Raw genomic sequence first — 21,106 nt, forward strand, 5'->3', positions numbered from 1 at the left:
GACAATTAATTAGCCATGGTAATTACCTGCTTTAATTTCATGATTGCACATCCTATAATTAGCCCTAATTCTGTAATAGGGAAGTTCATATACACAAAGGCAGCCGATGATGAAGGTGATAAGGGTTACAATATTAACAGCTGCCATTGCTTATTGCCTGCCAGGCATGGGCGAGGCACGACACCTCACAACCACCCAGTGACATTGGCATTGGCCTGCCTTACAGATGAAGAAGCTGAGTCTCAATGTGGGGTGTCATCCCCAGGGTCACAGCAGCCGAAAAGGATAACTGTGGGGACGTGAACCCAGGCCTCCCTCCCTATGTAGCTGTGCGCCTTCACACTGCCGTTCTGCCTCTTGCAGGAGCACCCGAGATCTGACATGCTTTGGGCTAAAGACGCCCGTTCCTATGCTTGGCACACCCTTAAACCAGATTGAGGGCTTCAGCCACTTAAAGGAAGCTTTTACATCTTCATTCTTTCTGTCTGTCTGCCTGACTCCCTCCCCACATCTTCTTTTCCACCCGCTTATGGGAGTGCATGTTTGTGTGTGTGTCTGAGATAAATTTTACCCTGGAATGTTGACTGCTTGGTGGTTAGATGTTTTAGTACGTGTACAAAATGTTGTCCTGAATATAATTGCTTAATTCTCCTCCTCTTCCAAAGACTTAGCCTCTAGCACTATCTTCATTTATCCAAATAGAGACTCAGGGCTTGAAGAGGTGAATTAACTTACCTAGGATCACTTGGCTGGCAAGGGGTGCAGCTGGAATTCGAACCCATTTCTCACTGAGGCCAGAATCCAGTGTCTGGGCTCCCTCCCGATGCTGACGTATGACGATGTGTCAGGTCCACGTGGATGTGTACCCACAGAGCCTTGGCACTACCTCCTGCCCCATCTACGGCCTGGCTTAGACATCCCTGCCCCACAAGTTAGGGTGAAAGCTCACTCTCCCGAGGACAGCGAAGGCAGGGCTATGTTTTGTTTTTGCTTTTAAATTCAGGATTAACATAAAATACAATCAGGTGTATCAATCTTAAGTTTATGGTTCAATTAATTTTACTTCTGTATAGACCTTTATAACCACTGCCCAGATATAGATCCTGGATGTTTCCAGCACCCAGAAGACTCCTTTGTGCCCTGCACAAGAATCCTTTCTCCCGCCCAAGGTCATGAAGACATTCTACCATGTTTTCTCCTCCTCGCTTTATGATTTCACTTTTCACACTGAGGTCTATGACTGCAAAAGACACAAGTGCAAAAGCCACACACGCAAATGTTCATAGTTGCTTTATTCATGAAAGTCTCAACTTGAAACAACCTAAATGTCCACCCCAGCAGAACAGGTGGATACAAACAGGGAAATATTCATACAGTGGAATACTATTCATTAGTGCAAAGCAACATGAGGGCCATACACAGAAACACAGCTGCATCTCACGTCCACAGTACTGAGTGAAAGAAACTAGACCCAGAGGAGCACACACTGGTTCCGTTTAGGTCAAGTTCAAAAACAGGGGAAGGCTGGGGGTGGTGGCTCACGCCTGTAATCCCAGCACTTTGGGAGGCCGAGGTGGGTAGATCACCTGAGGCCAGGAGTTCAAGACCAGCCTGGCCAACATGGTGAAACCCCGTCTCTACAAAAATACAAAAATTAGCCAGGCGTGTGGCAGGCACCTGTAATCCCAGCTACTCAGGAAGCTGAGGCGGGAGAATCACTTGAACCTGGGAGGTGGAGGTTGCAGTGAGCTGAGATCATGCCACTGCACTTCAGCCTGGGTGACAGAGCGAGTCTAAATCTCAAAAAAAAACCAAAAAAAAAAAAAACAAAAAAAAAAAGAAAAAAACAGGGAGGAAATCTAGGGGATAGTGCTTAGCATTGCGGGAGAGCACTATTGATTAGAACAGGGCACAGTCAAGTCTCATAGGAACACTCTGGTAGACGCTCTTCATCTTCTAAAAGAAAGCGTCTCCTTGAGACCTTATCTCTACTAGAGCTTGTTTTGGATTCTGTTCATTGACGGACTGAGGTTTTTGCATTTTTTTCTCCCCTTAACCTTCCTTTACCTCCACTGTTATTACAGACATCATGAGGGTAATTCTTCTCAGTGGAAAAGAAATCTTCAGATTTGAACTTCCTCTTAAAATGAAGAAGAAAGGGTTTGCCCCGATGCCCGATTACAGATATTACCCTCCTATTTAATCTTCTTTTGCTGAGTCAAGGAGATCCGACATAAAGTGGCTTTTTATTGCTTGTTTTAAAAGGAAACTTGGTTGTGTCAGAAGAGGTCAACTCTTTTTATCCCTCCAAGGAATTATTATCTTTATGGCTCAAGCAGAAGGAATTGGAGCTGATCGAACTTAATTTGGAGGGGAGAGGCTTTTAAAATAACAAACAAAACAAAAAATTCTAACAATTTTGGGCCTAAGCCCTCTGAAATCCTTAGTGAAATAAGTCCATGATTTAGTTAAGTATATGTAATTCAAGGACAACTTAATTTGCAGAGAAAGTTTCCTAACTTTGGATGTTTGAAGCACTGTTGTTGTGGATCAGCCATTTGGGTAATTTTGAGTAATTTTGAGTAATTTTAATGGCATTAGACTAGCTTCGATTAGATCCAAAGGGAGAGGCACAAATGAGGTGAGACTGGAATGTCTGACAGCAAGGAGACCTTTCTGAGAACACAGGATCTGCAAAGAGGTGCCTGGGCTTCAGGGGAACGAGGCAAGGGCTTCTGGTCCCAGCTACCCACATTGCTGGCCTGGGGTTCCTGGTGCCTTCAGGATTCTGGGTCACTGCAGCAGAGCAGCCTGCTGTTGTCAGAGGTGTTTGAACCAGAGCAACTCCATCTTGAATAGGGGCTGGGTAAAGTGAGGCTGAGACCTACTGGGCTGCATTTTCGGACGGTTAGGCATTCTAAGTCATAGGATGAGATGCGAAGTTGGCACAAAATACAGGTCATAAAGACCTTGCTGATTAAACAGGTTGCAGTAAAGAAGACGGCTAAAACCCACCAAAACCAAGATGGCTACTAGAGTGACCTCTGGGTGTCCTCTCTGCTACACTTCCACCAGTACCGTGGCAGTTTGTAAATGCCATGGCAACATCAGGAAGTTACTCTATATGGTCTGAAAAAGGGAGGCATGAATAATCCATTTCTTGTTTAGCATATAGTCAGGAAATAACCATAAAAATGGGCAACCAGCAGCTCTCGGGGCTGCTCTGTCTATGGAGTAGCGATTCTTTATTCCTTTACTTTCCTAATCAACTTGCTTTCATTTTACTCTACAGACTCGCCGTAAATTCTTTCTTGCTTGAGATCCGAGAACCTTCTCTTGGGGTCTGGATTGGAGCCCCTGTCTGGTAACACTGTGATAGAAAGTGTTAGAGGGCAGAGGGCAGGTAGCCGTGGGTTCAAATTCCTTATCTCCCCACCTGCCCTGGGCAAGTGATCTGACCTCTCTGAGCCCATTACTTCAGCTGAAAAGGGAGTGTTCGTACCATCTGCCTTGCAGATTAACTTGCGGCTGGGCAGTGAGGTGCGTAGTGCCTGGGATAGGACTCAACACATAATAGGTGGGCGGATCCTGGGTGCAGATTTAGGCCTCATGAGTTTTAGGTACCTAGGGAATATCACGTCCTGGTCTGGAGTTTGTATCAGAGGTCCAGACTAGAGATACAGATTTTGGAGTCATTGGCCTAAACATGAAACATGCAGGCCTGGGATTGCGCATGTGTGTTCCGGGGAGAGGCAGGGCGTGGGCAGGAGAGGAGGTGCCCATGTGGAAGGTGGAGAGAGAGCAGTTGGAGAAGAGGGAGACTGAGGCCTCCAGGGAGCAAAAACAGTGGGCTCTTGCATATACATTATGAAAAATGTAGAGTCAGAATTTATCACTCACAGGAGAGAGACTTGTATTTATTATTACATTAACGAGGTTTTAAAGATGTGTATTGGTATTCACTGATTCAAATTACGATGGCAATTTATCATTGGAGGCTTTACCCTGTGGGCTGTTCTTAACTCGGGTAATTTTTTTAAAGTGCATTGATCTCTCTCCCACTTCCGTGGTTTCCCTTGTGATGTATTATAGTTGCTGTGTATCCTTGGAAGGTGCTAGGGCCTGTAAAAGGCTGGTGAAGCAGTGCTCATGTTTTCTCTACTTGGTTAAAATAAAGAAGGAGTACGCCCACGTGTGCTGGTACGCCCATCTGGATGTGACCTTTTGTTCAGTTGAGCTGGTAATTGCAAGTCCGGATCTTGACCTCAGCCTACTCATTCCTAACCCAAGTCCAGTTCCTCTCCATCTGTGGGGTGGTCCATGTGATCCTGGCATAGCTGCGCTATTCGTAGACCTGAATTCTCTCCATATCACTTTGGGTGGGAGATGCTGCTCTCAGCTCCATTTTGTAGATGAGGAAATGAATGGCCAGAAAGGTTGCACTGCTTGTCTGATGGGTGAGTTTGTGCATTACATCAGGGGTTCCTGAAATTGCCCACTCGTCAGAATCACTGGAGAAGCTTTGGTTGCATTCGGGATTCCTGGGCCTCAGATGGTTAATGCCACCCACCCAGTGGTTGGTAAGATTTGGAAAGGACTACCTTCTCCACACCAGATCTTGGATATGTTGGTGGAAAAATAACAATAATGACTTCTTGATTATTTAGATCAGGGGTTATCAAACTCTTTTTGTAAAGGCCAGAAAAAATACTTGTAGCTTTGCAGGCTGTATGGTCTATTTCAGCTTCTTAACTCTGCTGTACAGAAGCTCCTTGACTTATGATGGGGTTATGTCCCGGTAAGCCCATTGTGAGTTGAAAATATCGTAAGTTGAAAATGCATTTAATAGGCTTCATGTAGTGAACATCATAGCTCAGCCTAGTCTACCTTCAACCTGTTCAGAACACTTACATTCACCTATAGTTAGGCACAATCATCTAACACAAAGCCTATTCTATAATAAAGTGTTGAACAGCTCATGTAAAGTATCATACTGCACATCACTAGCCTGGAAAAAACATCAAAATTTGAAGTGTGGTTTCTACTGAATGCTTATTGCTTTTGTACCATTATAAACTTGAAAAATTGCAAGACAATTACCAGCCTAAGTGAGGGACTGTCTGTATTTCAAAAGCGGCCAAAACAAATGAATGTGGCTGAATTTGGCCCATGGGCCATAGTTTGCCCACCCCGATCTAGATAATTAGTATTATGTATGATGATCAGAGAAGTGATTGTACTTGCCACTCTCCAAGGGAAGTTTGGACTTTTATAAGAATATATCATAAGCAGGTATGGGCCAGTCAAGATATATAGGGTGACAGCCAGGCGTGGTGGGTCACGCCTATAATCCCAGTACTTTGTGAGGCCAAGGCAGGCAGATCATCTGAGGCCAGGAGTTCAAGACCAGCCTGACCAACATGGCAAAACCTTGTCTCTACTAAAAATACAAAAAATTAGCCAGGTGTGGTGGTGGGCATCTGTAATCCCAGCTACTCGGGAGGCTGAGGCAGGAGAATCGCTTGAACTTGGAGGTGGAGGTTGCTGAGATCGTGCCACTGCCCTCCAGCCTGGGCAACAGAGTGAGACTTCGTCTCAAAAAAAAAAGTGAGCAAAGGACACAGCGACATTTCTCAAAAAAAAAAAAAAAAAAAAAAAAAAAAAAAAATATATATATATATATATATATATATATACATATATATATATATATATATATATATATATGATGAGAATTGCATTCAGTTGCTCATAAAAGACCCCTAAAACATTAGCTTGAACAAATTAGAGATGGGTATTTCTCGTTTGTTGAAGAAGCCTTGAGTAACTGATCTGATTATAGGTTTGGTGATGTGACGTCAGCAATAATGGAATGACATTATTGCTCCTTAAGGTCATCAGAGACCCCGGGACTTCTGTAAACTTGATAGGCATTCTGTTTCTCCATCTCACTCCATCGGAAACATCTATCCATTCGCTAATTGAAATGTCGTGGTTTTAGTCTCTAGTCCTTCCTCCTGTTCACAGAATAATGTGAGACATTCTATGGTCGCCATACTAGAGTTTGAACACATAATGTCTGTGTTTGGGGTTGATGGGTGGCTTTCACGTAGGAACAGAATTTATCACTCACATTAGAGATGCCTGTTTTCATGGTCATAGAGGTTTTAAAGATGTGTATTGACACTCATGGAGTGTAAATTACAACAGCCCTTTATCCTTGGGGACTTTTCTCTCTGGGCTGTTCTTAACTCATGTAATTTTAAAAAGTGGATTGATGTCTCTCCTGCTTCTCTGTTTTTCCTTGTGATGAAGTTGCTACTTGCCCCTGGAAGGTGCTAAGGCCTGCAAAAAGCTGATGAAACAGCCCTTACATTCTGTATCCCCAGAGTATTCTCTAAGGAGTCATAACTTGATTAAAATAAAGAAATTCTATGTCCCAGTTATGCTTATCCCATCTGGACACGGCATTCGGTCTAGTGGGGCAGATCTCAGCTCTTGCCCCCTCCCTTCTTTCTGAAACTGAATTCCACCTCATCTGTGTGGTGGTCGGTGTGGTCCCAGGCACCACCACATTGCCCTCCAAACCACCTTTGGAGCGAGGTGCTCCTCTCAGCTCTGTTTTACAGATGAGGAAACAAGTGTCCAGAAAGGTTGACTAGCCTCTCACCAGCACGCTGTTAGTGCTGCAATACACACATGACAGCAACATGAAACATGCATCTCTGCTATTAATTGGGCTGTGGATCTCTGTTGATGTTGGGAAAATAGCATACAGTATGTTCTTCCCATAACTTGCCTGATTTAGTCATTCTTGCCTGTACCCATCTGTTCAGCTAGCACTAATAAATCCCTGCTCTATGCCAGGAACTGGGCATCCAGTGGTGTGTGACACAGATGTGACTCTTGCTGCAGTTGGTTTTCATGGGGAAAGCATAGCCGAAATCCTACTCCTTTATAATAAGGGTTTAAGAGGAATTCACATTTTCTCTTTCTTGACAGGTCTACATCCGGATAAAAGACGATGAATGGAATATTTATCGCCGGTATACAGAGTTCAGGAGTTTGCACCACAAGTTACAAAACAAGTACCCTCAAGTGAGGGCCTACAACTTCCCACCCAAAAAGGCCATTGGAAACAAGGTACCATCCCGTGCTGGGAAGCCCACTTGTCACTGCCTGCGTTAAAATGGATTATTTATTCTTCTTCTTTAGTCCGTTGCTTAAAAACACATGCTCCTTAAAGAAAAGTTGGTGGAGATAAGAAAAAAATAGAGAAAAGAAATAGCCATTCATAATTCCACCACCTAAAGATGGTCACCATTACGTCATGTGTGTGTGTATGTCCTCTTATTTCTCTAGGGCAAGAAGTTGGAAAACTTTTTCTTTAAAGGGCCAGAGAGTAAATATGTTTGGCTTTGGGGACTTTACCATTTCAGTGGCAAATACTCACCTCTGCTGGGGTCCTGTGTAAGCAACCGTAGACAGTACAGACACAAATGAGTATGGCTATGTGCCAATAGCATTTTATTTTTAAGAATAGACAGCAGCTGGATTTGGCCTATAGGTTAGTTTGCCAACCCCTGTTCTGGACCAAAAAATGCTTTTCTAGTTTTCATCCGTAGTTGTCATGATGTTCACTTCAACTTGTGACTGTGGAGTAGAACTTTCTCAGAGGAGTTTGTTGTTGTTGTTGTTATATGGTTATTCACCTCATGAAGGTTAATGATTTATGATGACCCAATTTGTCGCTGTTTATTCATCCCGGTTCCCTTGAGGAAGGAGGTGCTAGCCCTCTGCAAGCTCATTGGTTGATTAATATTATTCACTCAGCAGTCATTAATTGGGCTCCAATTGTGTGTCATTGTGCAAGGGGCTGGGTTCAGCCCTGGAGAAGACAGACCTGGGTCTAGACCGGGCTTGGAGCCCTGTCAAATGGTCAGCTTCAGCCAGGCGGCATCATGATGTCACTCCTCATGTTTGTTTAGGAAGCAGTTCTCTGTCATGGCCGTGCTTTGGATCCCCTGGGGAGCTTTGAAAACCACTGAGGACTGCCTGTGCCCTACCTCCATCCCCATTCTGATTGAATCGATCTGAAGGGAGGCCTGGGCATGGAGGGGATGAATAGTTCTCTAAGTGATTGCACTCTGCGACCAAACTGGAGAATCTTTGGCTTAGAGTCAAGAAGGAGACAGGGGCACTTCATCAATTTCGGTATGTGTTCAATAGCTTGGCAGGGACAGTCTGATTGGAAGGTAGAGCCATGACCTTTCTCAGGATGTGTAAGACATCGGGCATTGTATTGAGCATGATCTCTCTGCCATGGTTGTTCTCAAAGTGTGACCCCAGCTAGCAGCAGCAGGAGCCCTTGGGAGCTGGTTAGAAATGCACATTCTTGGGCTCACCGTAGACATGCTGATTCACACGCTCTGGGGCTGAGACCCAGCAGTCTGGGTTTAACAAGCCCTCTAGGTGATGCTGTTCATGAGGAAGTATGAGGACTGCCGTTCTATCTTTTGACAAAGCCATGTGGCAGATGCCATATGGGGCGAATCCCTAGTTTCTGTCTTCAGGAGGTACCGTGCTAGCATTTCCTTGACCTTTATCACAGAAACACAGAGCAAGAGTTTCCATAACCCACTCCTGGCACTTGGGAATTTCATAGGGAAATCTATTCCCAACCCTTACATTTACATGTGTGTAGATTTCTATGTATAAAACAGATTGAAACCTGATCACGCCAAGGTCTGCTCGATTTGAACATAAACAGTTACAAAGCAGGTTTATCCCAGGCCCAGAATACATTTGTCCTTCATTTTTCTGTTGAGGAAAAGTAGAGCTGAACCACTACACGTGGCAGACAGAAACTCTATACTTGTTCATAGCAAAGAGTACAAGAATTCTTTTGAAAAGAGGGGAAAATTATATATTGATTTAATCTAATGACCCATAGGCTCATACAAATCTTGGGAGTTATTCAGAATGTCCTAAAATGTCACAAAACAACATGCTGCTAACCAGCGTATTATCAAATTATAAGACATTCTTATGTGCAAGAAACACAATCCTGGAGTGGCCCTTCCGTGACAGCTTCTTCACGGAATCTGCCTGTGTCTTGTGCTAAGGGAAAGCCATTGTAGCACAAGGTGGAAATGAGGGGATTTGGAAGGGGAAAACTCTTAGGTTGTGGCTTAACATTGTCCTGACTTAACATTGTCTGGGGTGAGTCGTGACTTAACATTATCCAGGGGTGCCTGGGAACTGCAGCTTTAAGCAAAATGACATATTGTGTTATGAAATGAACTTTACCATGGACAAATGGATACAAACAAGAGTTCAGTTCCTAGGGCATACAGTACTGTATTTAGCTTAAAGTCTTAGTTAGAACCTGTCAACAACATTAAGTCAACACTTGCTGTGTTAGTTTCCTCTTACTGCTGTCACAAATCCCCACAAATGCAGGGACTAAAACAAATTCATTATCTTACAATTCGAGAGGTCAGAAGTCCAAAATGAGCGTCACAGAGCTAAAATCAAGACGTCACCCAGGCCTCTTCCTTCTGGAGCCCCAGGAGAGAGTTTGCTCCTTGCTTTTTCAGCTTCTCAAGGCCACCCTCATTTTTGCCTTATGGCCTTCTGTCTTCAGAGACATCACTCAGCCCTCTGCTTCCATCATCATAGTCACATTTTTCTCTGGTTCTGACCCTCTTCCTCTTAGAATTCCCCTTAGATTCCCTGTGATCACACTGGGCTCACCCAGATCATCCAAATTAATCCCCCGACCCCACCCTTTGTCTCAAGATCCCTAACTTAACCACATCTGCTGAGTCCCTTTGGTCATGTGAGGTTCTGGGGATTTGGGTGTGGACATCTGTGGGGGCCATTATTGCGCCCACCACATGTTAGACATTGCTCCATGCTTTCTCTGCAGCCTCAAACAACTCCCTTCCCACCTCCTGCCTCCTCAAGCCCCCCAGTTACACAAAACTTAAGACAAAATAAATCTCATCAGTCCTGAAAACACTGGATTTGAGTTTAGTGAGATGAGGCTGAGCTCTGAGGAGTGGGAGGGTTTTTCTGGTGTTGCATCCTGTAGAAAGAGGGCATGAAGCTGTCCTGGGTCTCTGCTGTGCAGGAGCTGGGAACTGTTTTGTTGTTGTTGTTTGTTTGGTTTTTTGGAGGCAAAGTCTTACTCTGTTCCCAGGCTGGAGTGCAGTGACGCTGTGTCAACTCACTACAACCTGTGCTTCTGGAGGAGAGAACTGAGTCTGCTTCATGCTCTCCACCCTCATCCCCAGGCTAGAGAGACAATCTGTCCCTGCTCATCCCGAGGCTGATTCCTCACAGCAGCAAACCTTTCTCCTATGAAGCCTGTGTCAGCCAAGCAATGTGCTTTTATCCCCCCAACATAACCCTATTTGCAAATAGACAAGCTTGAGAATAAAAGACACCATCTTAGTGGGCCTGGCCCAGTAATGATCAGCTGGTACAAGTGCACCAGCTGGTTCTTAACCAGATTTGTGGTCCTGCTCCCACTGGTGGGGGTGGATCTGACCACCCAGTTCGTGAGCAGTCTTGGGGCCACAGCTCCATTTCTCGCCTGTGCAGCTTTTAACTTTTAATTAACTTTTAATAAGCTGGTTGAACTGTGATTGTCTTTTATACATATATATATATATACACACACACACACACATATACATACACACATATACACATATATACACACACATATATACATATATATATACACATATATACACACATATATATACACATATGTACATATACATATAGACACACACACACACACACACACACACACACACACACACACACCCCAAATGTCACCCTGTCGCCCAGGGTGGAGTGCAGTGGCACAATTTCACCTCACAGCAACCTCCGTCTCCTGGGTTCAAGTGATTATCCTGCCTCAGCCTCCCGAGTAGCTGGGACTATAGGCACCCACCACCACACTCAGCTAATTTTTGTATTTTTAGTAAAGGCAGGGTTTTGCCATGTTGGCCAGGCTGTTCTCAAACTCCTGATCTCAAGTGATCCTCCCACCTCGGCCTCACAAAGTGCTGGGATTACAGGTGTGAGTAACAGGAGGGGCCATACCCGGCCCCATGATTGTCCTTTGATTCCTTCTTTCTTTTTCTGTGCATTTGGCTAAGACATACCCACTTCCCTGAAATCCACCTTGGCTGCTGCTGAGGACACATCTTAGTGATTCTTCCCATTTCCAAAGGAGGATTGAGTCAAGATTCAGAACCTTCAACACCCAACAGGGGCCACTGGTGAATTCATTTCAAGGCCAAGCTTATGCTGGCCTCACTGGGCCTAATAACTCAGGACACCTGCTTTAATATCCCAAGAGCAAAATTTTTGGAGTGTGTTGATTCTACATTGGCCCAGAAAAATCCGCCACGTCAGAATCTTTTCTTTGATTGGGTTACTTCAAGGATAACTCACTTGTCCGCCTGGACCATTGTGGCACACGTCTAGACAAGACGTGTTTGGGTTGATTTAATTAATTTCTTTCTCCTTTTCCTTTTTCTTTTTCCTTTTTCCTTTTCCTTTTCCTTTTCCCTTCCTTTCCTTTCACAGAGTCCTGCTGTGTCACCCAGACTAGAGTTCTGTGATGCAATTGTAGCTCACCGCAGCCTCAAACTCCTGGGTTCAAGTGACCCTCTTGCTTCAGCCTCCCAAGTAGCTGGGACCACAGGCATGCAGCACCATGCCTGTCTGATATTTCAGTTTTTTGCAGAGACAGGGTTTCACCATGTTCGCCAGGCTGGTCTCAAACTCCTGGGCTCAAGAACTACTCCCACCTCAGCCACCCAAAGTGCTGGGATTACAGGCATGAGCCACTGCTCCTGGCCAGGGTTGATTGAATTTTGCATGCCTTGTTACTCTTAAGCCTTGAACCCATTAAATGACTCACTGCAGAATCCATAGACCTAGACATTATTCAAGGAAATAGCAAGCGTAGTTTAGCCTTTCTCATTTGTCAGATGAGTATCCTTCTAGCCTGAATGTCTATATATTTCCCCTACAATGCCATCATTGGTGATTGTCTGACAGTTTTATAGTTGAAAGTGATCTTAATCCCAATTTGAATCTTTTTTAATTGACAAAATTAGCATGTTGTATAGTGTGTGGACCCAGCATTTGTCTTTACCAAAGAATCTGTTGCTTTAATATGCCATGCATGTGTGTAATTATATATTCACAGGATACCCAGAGCTCTCCCTGGAGGTGTCCATGCCTTCACATACTGTATCAAGTTCAAATCATGTTGAAATAGTTGGCCTGAATATCAGTTCACCATTCGATGAAGTTTATTCTTTCATAGCTGAGTCAAGCCACAATAGATACATATTGAAGTTATTAAGTTTTTTTTTTTTTTTTTTTTTTTTTTTTTGGAGACAGCACCTGCCATCATGCCTGGCTAATTTTTGTGTGTTTTTGTAGAGATGGCATTTCACCATGTTGGCCAGGCTGGTCTTGAACTCATGACCTCAGGTGATCCGCCCACCTTGGCCTCCCAAAGTGGTGAGATTACAGGTGTGAGCCACTGCACCTGGCCATTTACTTTTCTTTTTTTTTTTTTTTCCAGACGGAGTCTTGCTCTATCACCCAGGCTGGAGTGCAGTGGTGTGATCTCAGCTCACTGCAATCTCCGCCTCCCAGGTTCAAGTGATTCTGCTGCCTCAGCCTCCTGAGTAGCTGGGATTACAGGTGTGTGCCACCACGCCTGGTAATTTTTGTATTTTTTGTAGAGACGGGGTTTCACCATGTTGGTCAGGCTGGTCTCGAACTCCTGAGCTCGTGATCCACCCACCTCAGCCTCCCAAAGTGCTGGGATTACAGGCGTGAGCCACCACATCTGGCCCATTAACTTTTATATATCACAGGTGTGGGGTTTGTTTAGGCCAAGGTAACAATTCCAAGATCTTGGTGACTTAAGCCAACAAGGGTATATCTTTGGCTCATGTTCTCTGTCCATCGTGGGTTGGCTCTGGGCTCTGCTCATCACAGTGCTGGGTTCCAGGCTGCTGGAGGCTCCATCTGCATGCATGTGGCAACAAGAACAAGGAGTAGGGGCAAGTCAGGTGGTGGCTTCTAAAGCTGCTGCCTGGAAGTGATACATGGAAATTCCACTTGCATTTCATTGGCCAGAGCAAGTTCCTTGGCCATGCCTAATGCCCAGGGAGCAAAGGAGTCACTCCAGATGTTAGTGACCAGCTCTAATGACGCAAGCTGGGATGACGTTTCTGTTGAATGACATTGTTCAGCGGGACTGAGATAGTAAGAGCACAGCTTCACCCATCCAAAACTATACATGCCTGTCCCATGGACTCCACTTTCAAAGGAGTCGCAGTTCACCTGCTTCCTGCATCCCTGCTTAAGTCATTCTCTCTTTCTCCCTCTCTCTTTTTTGCTTGAGACAGGGTCTCTCTCTGTCACCCAGGCTGGAGTGTAGCGGTGCGATCATGGCTCACTGCAGCCTCGAACTCCCCGGCTCCAGCCATCCTTCCACCTCAGCCTCCCAAAGTGCTGGGATTACAGACATGAACCACTGCCCCTGGCTCCTGTTTAGATTATTCTAACTCCAAGCCACTGTCACCGCAGTGTGGACACCTGCAGTGGCTGGCCTTTTTCTCTTTTGCCTCCCTGTAGCCTATTTTCCACGCTGTAGCAAGAGTGAGATTTGTACAACATAAATCTGATTGTGTCAGCTGTAGATTAAGACCCTCCAGTGACACCCCTGGTACTTACAATGGGGACTCGTTACTGTGGCCTCAGAGGTGTCCCCTGGTAGCTCCCTCACCTCCCTCTCCTACCTTATCTCATGCCCTGCCCCCACCCTCTCCACTCAGCCACACTGGTGTCCTAAGACATCTACACTGATCTCACCTCGGGGCCTTTGCACCTGTCACACCCTGTACCTGGAATGGCCATTCCCAGATTCCTACATGGACGGCTCCTCCCATTCACCAGATGTCAGTTCAGATTTGCCCTCCTTAGGCAGAGGCCTTTCCTGACACCCCTCACTCTGCTGCCCTCAGTCACTCTCTGGCCCTTTCCTCTGCTTTAATTTTCTTCCCAGTGTATACCATTGATTGAAATGACTTATTTGTGCACTTCAATATGATCTGTCTCTCTGCACCAGCATGGAAGCTCATGAACCAGGACTGGAGTCTGTTTCTGTTCACTGCTCTGTCCCCAGCTCCTAGAATAGCACCTGACATACCAAGATACTCACGGTCTAAATTAATGAACAAACAAACAGAAATTCAGTGGAAGAGTTTCCCTTTTATTTTCTTCTTCGCTTTGCTGGGTGTTGGCACACATTCAAAAAATCTCAATTCCAAAAGTGAGTACATAAACTTTCAAGGTGACTCGGGAGGTTGTTCTCACCCGACTTTTGGCTGAATATTTTTTGCAGAGTGGGCATGAGGCCAAGCAGGCTTTTGGAGACCGGAAAGGTGGCTTTCTAATGGTCTGAGGGAGTTGACCGGTGAGCTGCCTGTCCAAATGGGCTTTAGCAGCATGAGGGCTTAGGTAAAGGACTCGTTTTTGATGATGTTACTAAAGTCTGCATTATGGCTCAGGGAGCGAATGAGAATAGAGAGACTGTCATTCCTTCTTAGGATAATAGATTCCGTCTCCAAAAGTTCATTTGGCATTAAGGCAAGGCAAATCACTTTCCCTGGAGCCACAGATAATTCAACTTGTTGGAGAAATTATGCATTAAAATCCTCATTAAAAACACATACACCCGTGTGTGGTAGAGGAACCGACTGGTACTCGCCGAGCCGTGGGAAGCCCCTTTGCAACTTCTTGGGAGGTGCCATTGGAAACACAGCCCTCGAGACGGCAGGGTCAGTGGAGAGGTGGGAGCGAGTGGACCTCATGCAGGAACCAGAGGCAAATGTGTACCGAGTGCAGGGCTGTTGTGCTGGGTGCAGGGGCATTGAAGGCGAATTAAGGTTCGGTCTCTGTCCTTAAGAAGCTGGCAGTCTTGTAGGGAGGATGACATGTAAATGAGTCCTCAGGAGCTATATGAGCTGCAGGGAACCTGGTGCAATCTGCAGATAGAGGAGAGAGAAGCAGAGAAGGCTTCCTGCAGGAGGCGAAATGCTTGAGGGGCCACAGGGCTCCCAGCCAGAAATCTAGGAGAGGGAGTAGGTGGGCCAGCAGAATCAATGCAAGGCATCCTTTCTGTACATCCCGGATCAGTTTCCTGTGGCTTACAACAACACACATTTATTCTAGTACAGTTCAGGAGGCCAGACATTCCATATGAGCCTCATTAGGTTAAAATGAAGGCGTCAGCGAGGCTGCATTTCTTTCTAGAGACTCCAGGGGATAATCCTTCTCCTTGCCTTTTCCAGCTTAGAGGCTGCTTGCATTTCTTGGCTCGTGGCCCCTTCCTCTGTCTTCCGTGTTGCCTCTCTCCCACCATTCTTCTGTTCTCAGATCTTCCCCCGATCACAGCAGGGAAGAGTTCTCCACTTTGCAGTAATGTGATTAGATTGGGCCCACCCAGATTATCCAGGGTAATGTCCCTGTGTCAGGGCCCTTAATTTCACCTCCTCTGCAGTGGCCCCTGTACAGTAGCATATTCACAGGTTCTGGGGATTGAGGCATAGACACTTTGGGAGAGGGTGGGCCTCATCCTGCCTACCGTACACCTCTTCTTCCTTCTTCCTTCTTCCTTGTCCTGGGTAGACAACTCTTACTGTTAGCCCACTTTACAAATGGGGCAGCAGAGGTACAGGGATGTGAAGTGACTTGCTTGGGCCATCTCGCTTGGCAGCGTCAAGGCTGATATCTGGGCCCAGGCAGGTGATCTGCCTTCAGCCTCTGTGAGCACAGCCTATCCCACAAGAAGGTCGGCTGTAGAGGATCCTGGAGGCTGGACGGGCAGAATCAGTCAGCCGTTGCCCATTTGATGGACATTCACATTAACTCCCTAAGTCAACTCCTCAACCTCAGTGCCGTGGAGAGCAGGGGGCGGGTGAGGAGGGGCTCTGATGGCCTGTCTCTCCGCCCACACCCACCGCTCCACCCTTGCTTAGGGGCCATTTTTAGAGTTGGGAGTGCTGCCCTCATAGTTCATCCACAGGCTTGTAAGAACTTCCCTGTTAATCCTAAACTTGTGGGGTGACAGTTACTCGTTCATTTATTTGTGCATTTATTCTTTCAATGTGACTTTACCAACTCTATAAGTAAGAGGCTGTAATAAGCACTGAGAGTCAAAGAAAAAGAAAAAGATCCTTAAGGCTGTACTATCTGTGTGGCCTCGGGCACGTTATTTGACCTCTCTGTGCCTGTTTCCCCTTTTATATACTAGGAATACTCATGCCACTTCTAGTATTGTGTTTATGAGGATTGAAGGTGGTTACATCTGTAAAGTGCTCAGAACAGTGTCTGGCACATGGTAAGATCTGTGTTCAGGTTTGTTAGGTAAGGGGCATTGGGCTGGTAGTGAAGTGGGGCGAGCAGACACACACGTGCGTTCTCATCCCCAGCGATGCCAGGACCCTGAACCTGTGCAGTGGGTGAGCCCGACATGGATGGTCCCGCCGAAAACCTCAAAGCCAGTGTTTCCATGTACACTAACACCAGCCACCATATGCCGGCTTGCCAGACACACCGGGAACTTTGCATTTATTTTCTCATCATGCAGTTCTTATCAGGCTCCATATAAAGTGTTTATAGATGAGGAAACTGGGGCTGAGGGGCAATAAGCATCTTGCCCAAGCTCCCGTAGCTTGTAAGTGCCGGAGCCAGGAATTGAGCCGAACTCTGCAAATGCCGCCGCACCACCCAGCCCTCCGTGGAGAAGCCAGCCGCACACGTCCATGCCCAAATCTAGGAGCTGGTGATGCAGAGAGTCACCTACTACAGGTTTCAGCCGTAAAGTTCGTCATGTGAAGACAATTCAGAAGATGGTGGGACTCCCCCCACCTGTTCGCAGCAGAGATGCAGGGAGTTCACACACCATCCCCCGCAACTGCTAGGGCTCCACAGAGAAATTTGGGAGCGAAAAGCAGCTCTGAGTGAATGAAGCCATAAACTCAAGCCTGTGTCTCATTTGACACTCTGCCAACCACCATGTAAATATTCCTAGTACTTAATGTATTAATCGAGAAGAAGAGAGAAACTGGGCTCATTATACATCCCACATTTGTGTTTCTCTTTAATACAGTAAAAGCCTCTTAAGATATTTTCCAGGAGAGCAACCACTAACGTCATCTTGCCAGAAAAAAAACATCTCAGGGGAGAGACCTTGGTGAGCTTCAGACTCAGAATATGTATGTGGAGGCCTATGCATAGGTATATATATGTTTAATTAGTGTGGTTTCTTGGGAGGACTTTTCTATAATATCAAATTAAAATCCAGTAAGAAAAAAAATTAAGGTCATTTATAGACAAAAGAATCCAGAGCCAGCCACTGAAAGCATATTTGCTGTTCTGTTCCCATCCTGCATATTTTCTAGGTATAGCACACAGAGAAGCTGAATTGAAGAGACTCCTCTTGGTGGTCTCAAGTTGTAGAACTTGCTGGTCCCACCCTCCATTGTGGCCTTCATACCTCCACCAGGAAGTCTTCCCTGACTTCAAAAACATGAGCCGCCCTTCCCTGGGTTCATTTCTCATACTCCATCGCATCACGGTTGCCTGATTGACAGTTCTTCCTTCCCGCAGTCCCCCCCGTCCCCGCACCCATGACACCATAGAATTAGAGGGCAGAGCCTGGTCTTACTTGAGTCTTTGCCTTCTTGGGATCTGTCACAGTGCCGGGTACAGAGTCGAACCTGTTTGTTGAATAACGAACTGAAGCTGTGTGGAAGTCATTGTGTAGCACCGGCTTTGCTGGGTGGTTAATTTCCTTTCTCCCTCGTCCTATGTCCCTTCACTTCCAGGACACTGTCATTCATGGTCGTTCATAGATGCTCAGTTCCCATGTGGCGCCATCTCACCTGCCCGCTGGACATTGACCAGCTGATACTTGCAGGAATTTCCATGAAGACTCTGCCTTAGTTGTTCCTGGTGACAAAGAAAATTTGTTTGACACTTCTGGGGTCTGGTGTTCTCAGTGAACCCACCAGAATTGGCCAGCTTGCCCCACTTCACTCATTTCAGGCTGAGTTCGAGGACCCTATTTCTAGGTAGAACGCATTGGTTTTGTGATTGAATGAATTATAAGACAACTTGACTCCGTTGGGCATTAAACGTTGGCCAAAGTATTTCTGGGGCTGTGAGTTTCCTTGTATATCCTTATTTAGTCTCTCCTTCCAGCTCTAAAAGCCTTCTGAAAAGACTTAACCCGTATTCTATCTGCTTTTGTTCCTCACATTTTCAGACAACTGATTAAAATCACAACTTAGAAGAGTATTTCTTGGCTCTTACCCTTTTGAGTAGTTGGAGAATAATTGCTACCTTTCCCTTCAGTATTCTCATTAATATTTGAGAACTTCAAACGGCAGAAAAACACAAAAAACAAATTGAGAACTGTGTATTGCAATCTTGGTTCATCTCTAACACGCTGGAAAAAAAAAAAAAATTCAGCCTCTCAAGTTGCCACCAGTTGGTTATTTCCTGAAGCCACCTTTTTGGAGTTCACAACCCCAGGCTGGAGGAATCCTCTCCCTTTCTCTCGTCCTTCTCTGCAGTGTCATGGGCCACTTGCATCTTTAGAAACCATGCAACACAGGGAAAGAGCTTGGGCTGTGGATTCAGATCCTGCCCCCTCCCACACTGGCTGTGTGACCCTGGACAAGTCCTCAGCCTTTGTGGCACTCAGCTGTCACATGGTGGTGAGCACACTGACAGCATGGGCTGTGGTGAAGAGTGAACAAGCTTATGCCAGTCAAGTATTTCCCATGGTGCGGTGTGTCCTTAGCCCTCAAACGCCAGCATAAAAACCAGGTCTACAGGGAGGAAGCACTCATTTGATTTCTTTTCTTTTGTGATTGGTGACAACTCCCACATAGGCATGCTTGCTTTTCCTTTCTTTCATTCTCTCTTCTTCCTCCCCCGTTCACTTCTCTACTTCTTGTTGTGGGTTTTGGCTTTTTCTTTTTTTTCGAGATTGCGTCTCACTCTGTCACCCAAGCTGGAATGCAGTGGTGTGATCTTGGCTCACCGCAACCTCTACCTCCTGGGTTCAAACAATTCTTGTGCCTCAGCCTCCTGAGTAGCTGGGACTATAGGCATGCACCACCATGCATGGCTAATTTCTGTATTTTTAGTAGAGATGGGGTTTCTCCATGTTGGCCAGGCTGGTCTCAAACTCCTGGCCTCAAGTGATCTGCCCACCTCAGCCTCCCAAAGTGCTGGGATTACAGGCGTGAGCCACAACGCCAGGGCTTTTTTGGCTGTTTTTTAAGTTGAGGTATAGCATACCTCCAATTTTAAGGTACAGTTTGATGGATTTTCACAAAATGAACACACCTAGGCAAACAGCAATAGACCAAGAAATAGACCATTATCAGATCTCCAGAGCCTTGTCTTGTTAAAGGGCCACTGTGCTGCTTTCTGATACCATAGTGTGCTTTTGCCTGTATGTACTCCTTTGTATCTGGCTTCTTTCTCTCAGCATCACATCTGTGAGCTTCCTCCATGTTGTTGCAAGTAGCAATTGTTGGTTCATTTTCATTGCTCTGTAATAGTCCATTGTGTGAATACACCACAGTTTATTTATCTTTTACTATTAATGAATAGTTCAATGTTTTCTGGTCTGGCTCAATTACAAATAGTGCTGTAATTAACAATTCTTACATACTTCTTCTGCTGGCTCTGAGCCCTGGTTTCTGTGGGATGAAATCCTTAGGAATGGACTTGCTGGTCACAGGGTATGTTTATACTCCACTGTAGTGCATACTGCCACACAGTGTCCCAAAGCAGCCATACGGTGATGATTTTTTAAAGAAAGAGAAAAAGAATACAAAGAATAGGATACCAGGCACCTGTGTTCCCACCACACCAAATTAACAGCTGTTCACATTTTATCATATTTGCTTCCAAGCACCTAAAAAATTATTAGGAAATGTTTCAGGTGTGCCCTGGAATACACAGGAAAATGTAATGAACACACACGTATAACCATCCAGATTAATCAATGTTAACATTTAGAAATTAAACACTGTAAATACAGCTAAACCCTCTTTGCACCTTTTCTCCCAGAAGGGAACCACTCTGCGGAATCATTCTGTGTCCTTATATTACATATGATTATGAGAGGGTTTTCTTTTTACAGCTTCACATCAATGATACTTATTCTTTATGTAGCCTTTCACAACTGCTGTTCTTCACCAATATCACATTTCTTGAGATGTATTCATTTAGATGCAGGGCATTCTAATGCATTAACTGCTACACTTGCCGATAGTCTATGGTGTGACTACTCAGTGTTGCATTTATGTACTCTCTCTTTGATGAACATTTAGGTCGTTTGCAATTTTTCCCTATTTGGTCATTGTGGCATTAGCATCCTTGTACACGTCTTGGTATACATGTTTGAGACTCGGTTTCTCTAGGTTGTGTGCCCATGAATGAGGTTCCTGGCTTATAAGGTATGCTTGTCATCAACTTGCCTAGCTCTTGCCAAATTGTACTCCAAGATGGCAGCACCAGTGGTTCACTCTCAATCATGGGTGAGAATTCCCATTGTTTCACATTCACAACAGCACTTGGCTTTGTTCAACTTAAATTTTATTTATATTTCACCAACACAATGGGTATAAAATGGTATCTCATTTTGTTGCTGCTGTTGTTTTTTTTTATGTGACTTATTTTTTTTTATTATTATACTTTAAGTTTTAGGGTACATGTGCACAACGTGCAGGTTTGTTACATATGTATACATGTGCCATGTTGGTGTGCTGCACCCATTAACTCCTCATTTAGCATTAGGTATATCTCCTAATGCTATCCCTCCCCCTTCCCCCAACCCCACAACAGTCCCCGGTGTGTGATGTTCCCCTTCCTGTGTCCATGTGTTCTCATTGTTCAATTCCCACCTATAAGTGAGAACATGCGGTGTTTGGTTTTCTGTCCTTGTGATAGTTTGCTGAGAATGGTGGTT

General features: G+C 45.3%; 1 protein-coding gene across 19 annotated transcripts in view; it reads left to right on the forward strand.

Moving 5' to 3' along the window:
- Positions 1-21,106, forward strand: part of SNX29 (sorting nexin 29) — a 597,554-nt gene that overhangs the window by 493,983 nt on the left and 82,465 nt on the right. For all 19 annotated transcript variants that reach the window (XR_001752024.3, NM_032167.5, XM_017023874.2 and 16 more), the window contains one exon: positions 7,003-7,143. Coding sequence is in view for 18 of the 19 variants with exons in the window: in NM_032167.5 (NP_115543.3) it covers positions 7,003-7,143 (141 nt within the window). In the remaining variant the exon portion in view is untranslated. The remainder of the gene's footprint in view (positions 1-7,002; positions 7,144-21,106) is intronic.

Source organism: Homo sapiens, chromosome 16, assembly GCF_000001405.40.
Source record: "Homo sapiens chromosome 16, GRCh38.p14 Primary Assembly".
Lineage (NCBI taxonomy): Eukaryota > Metazoa > Chordata > Mammalia > Primates > Hominidae > Homo > Homo sapiens.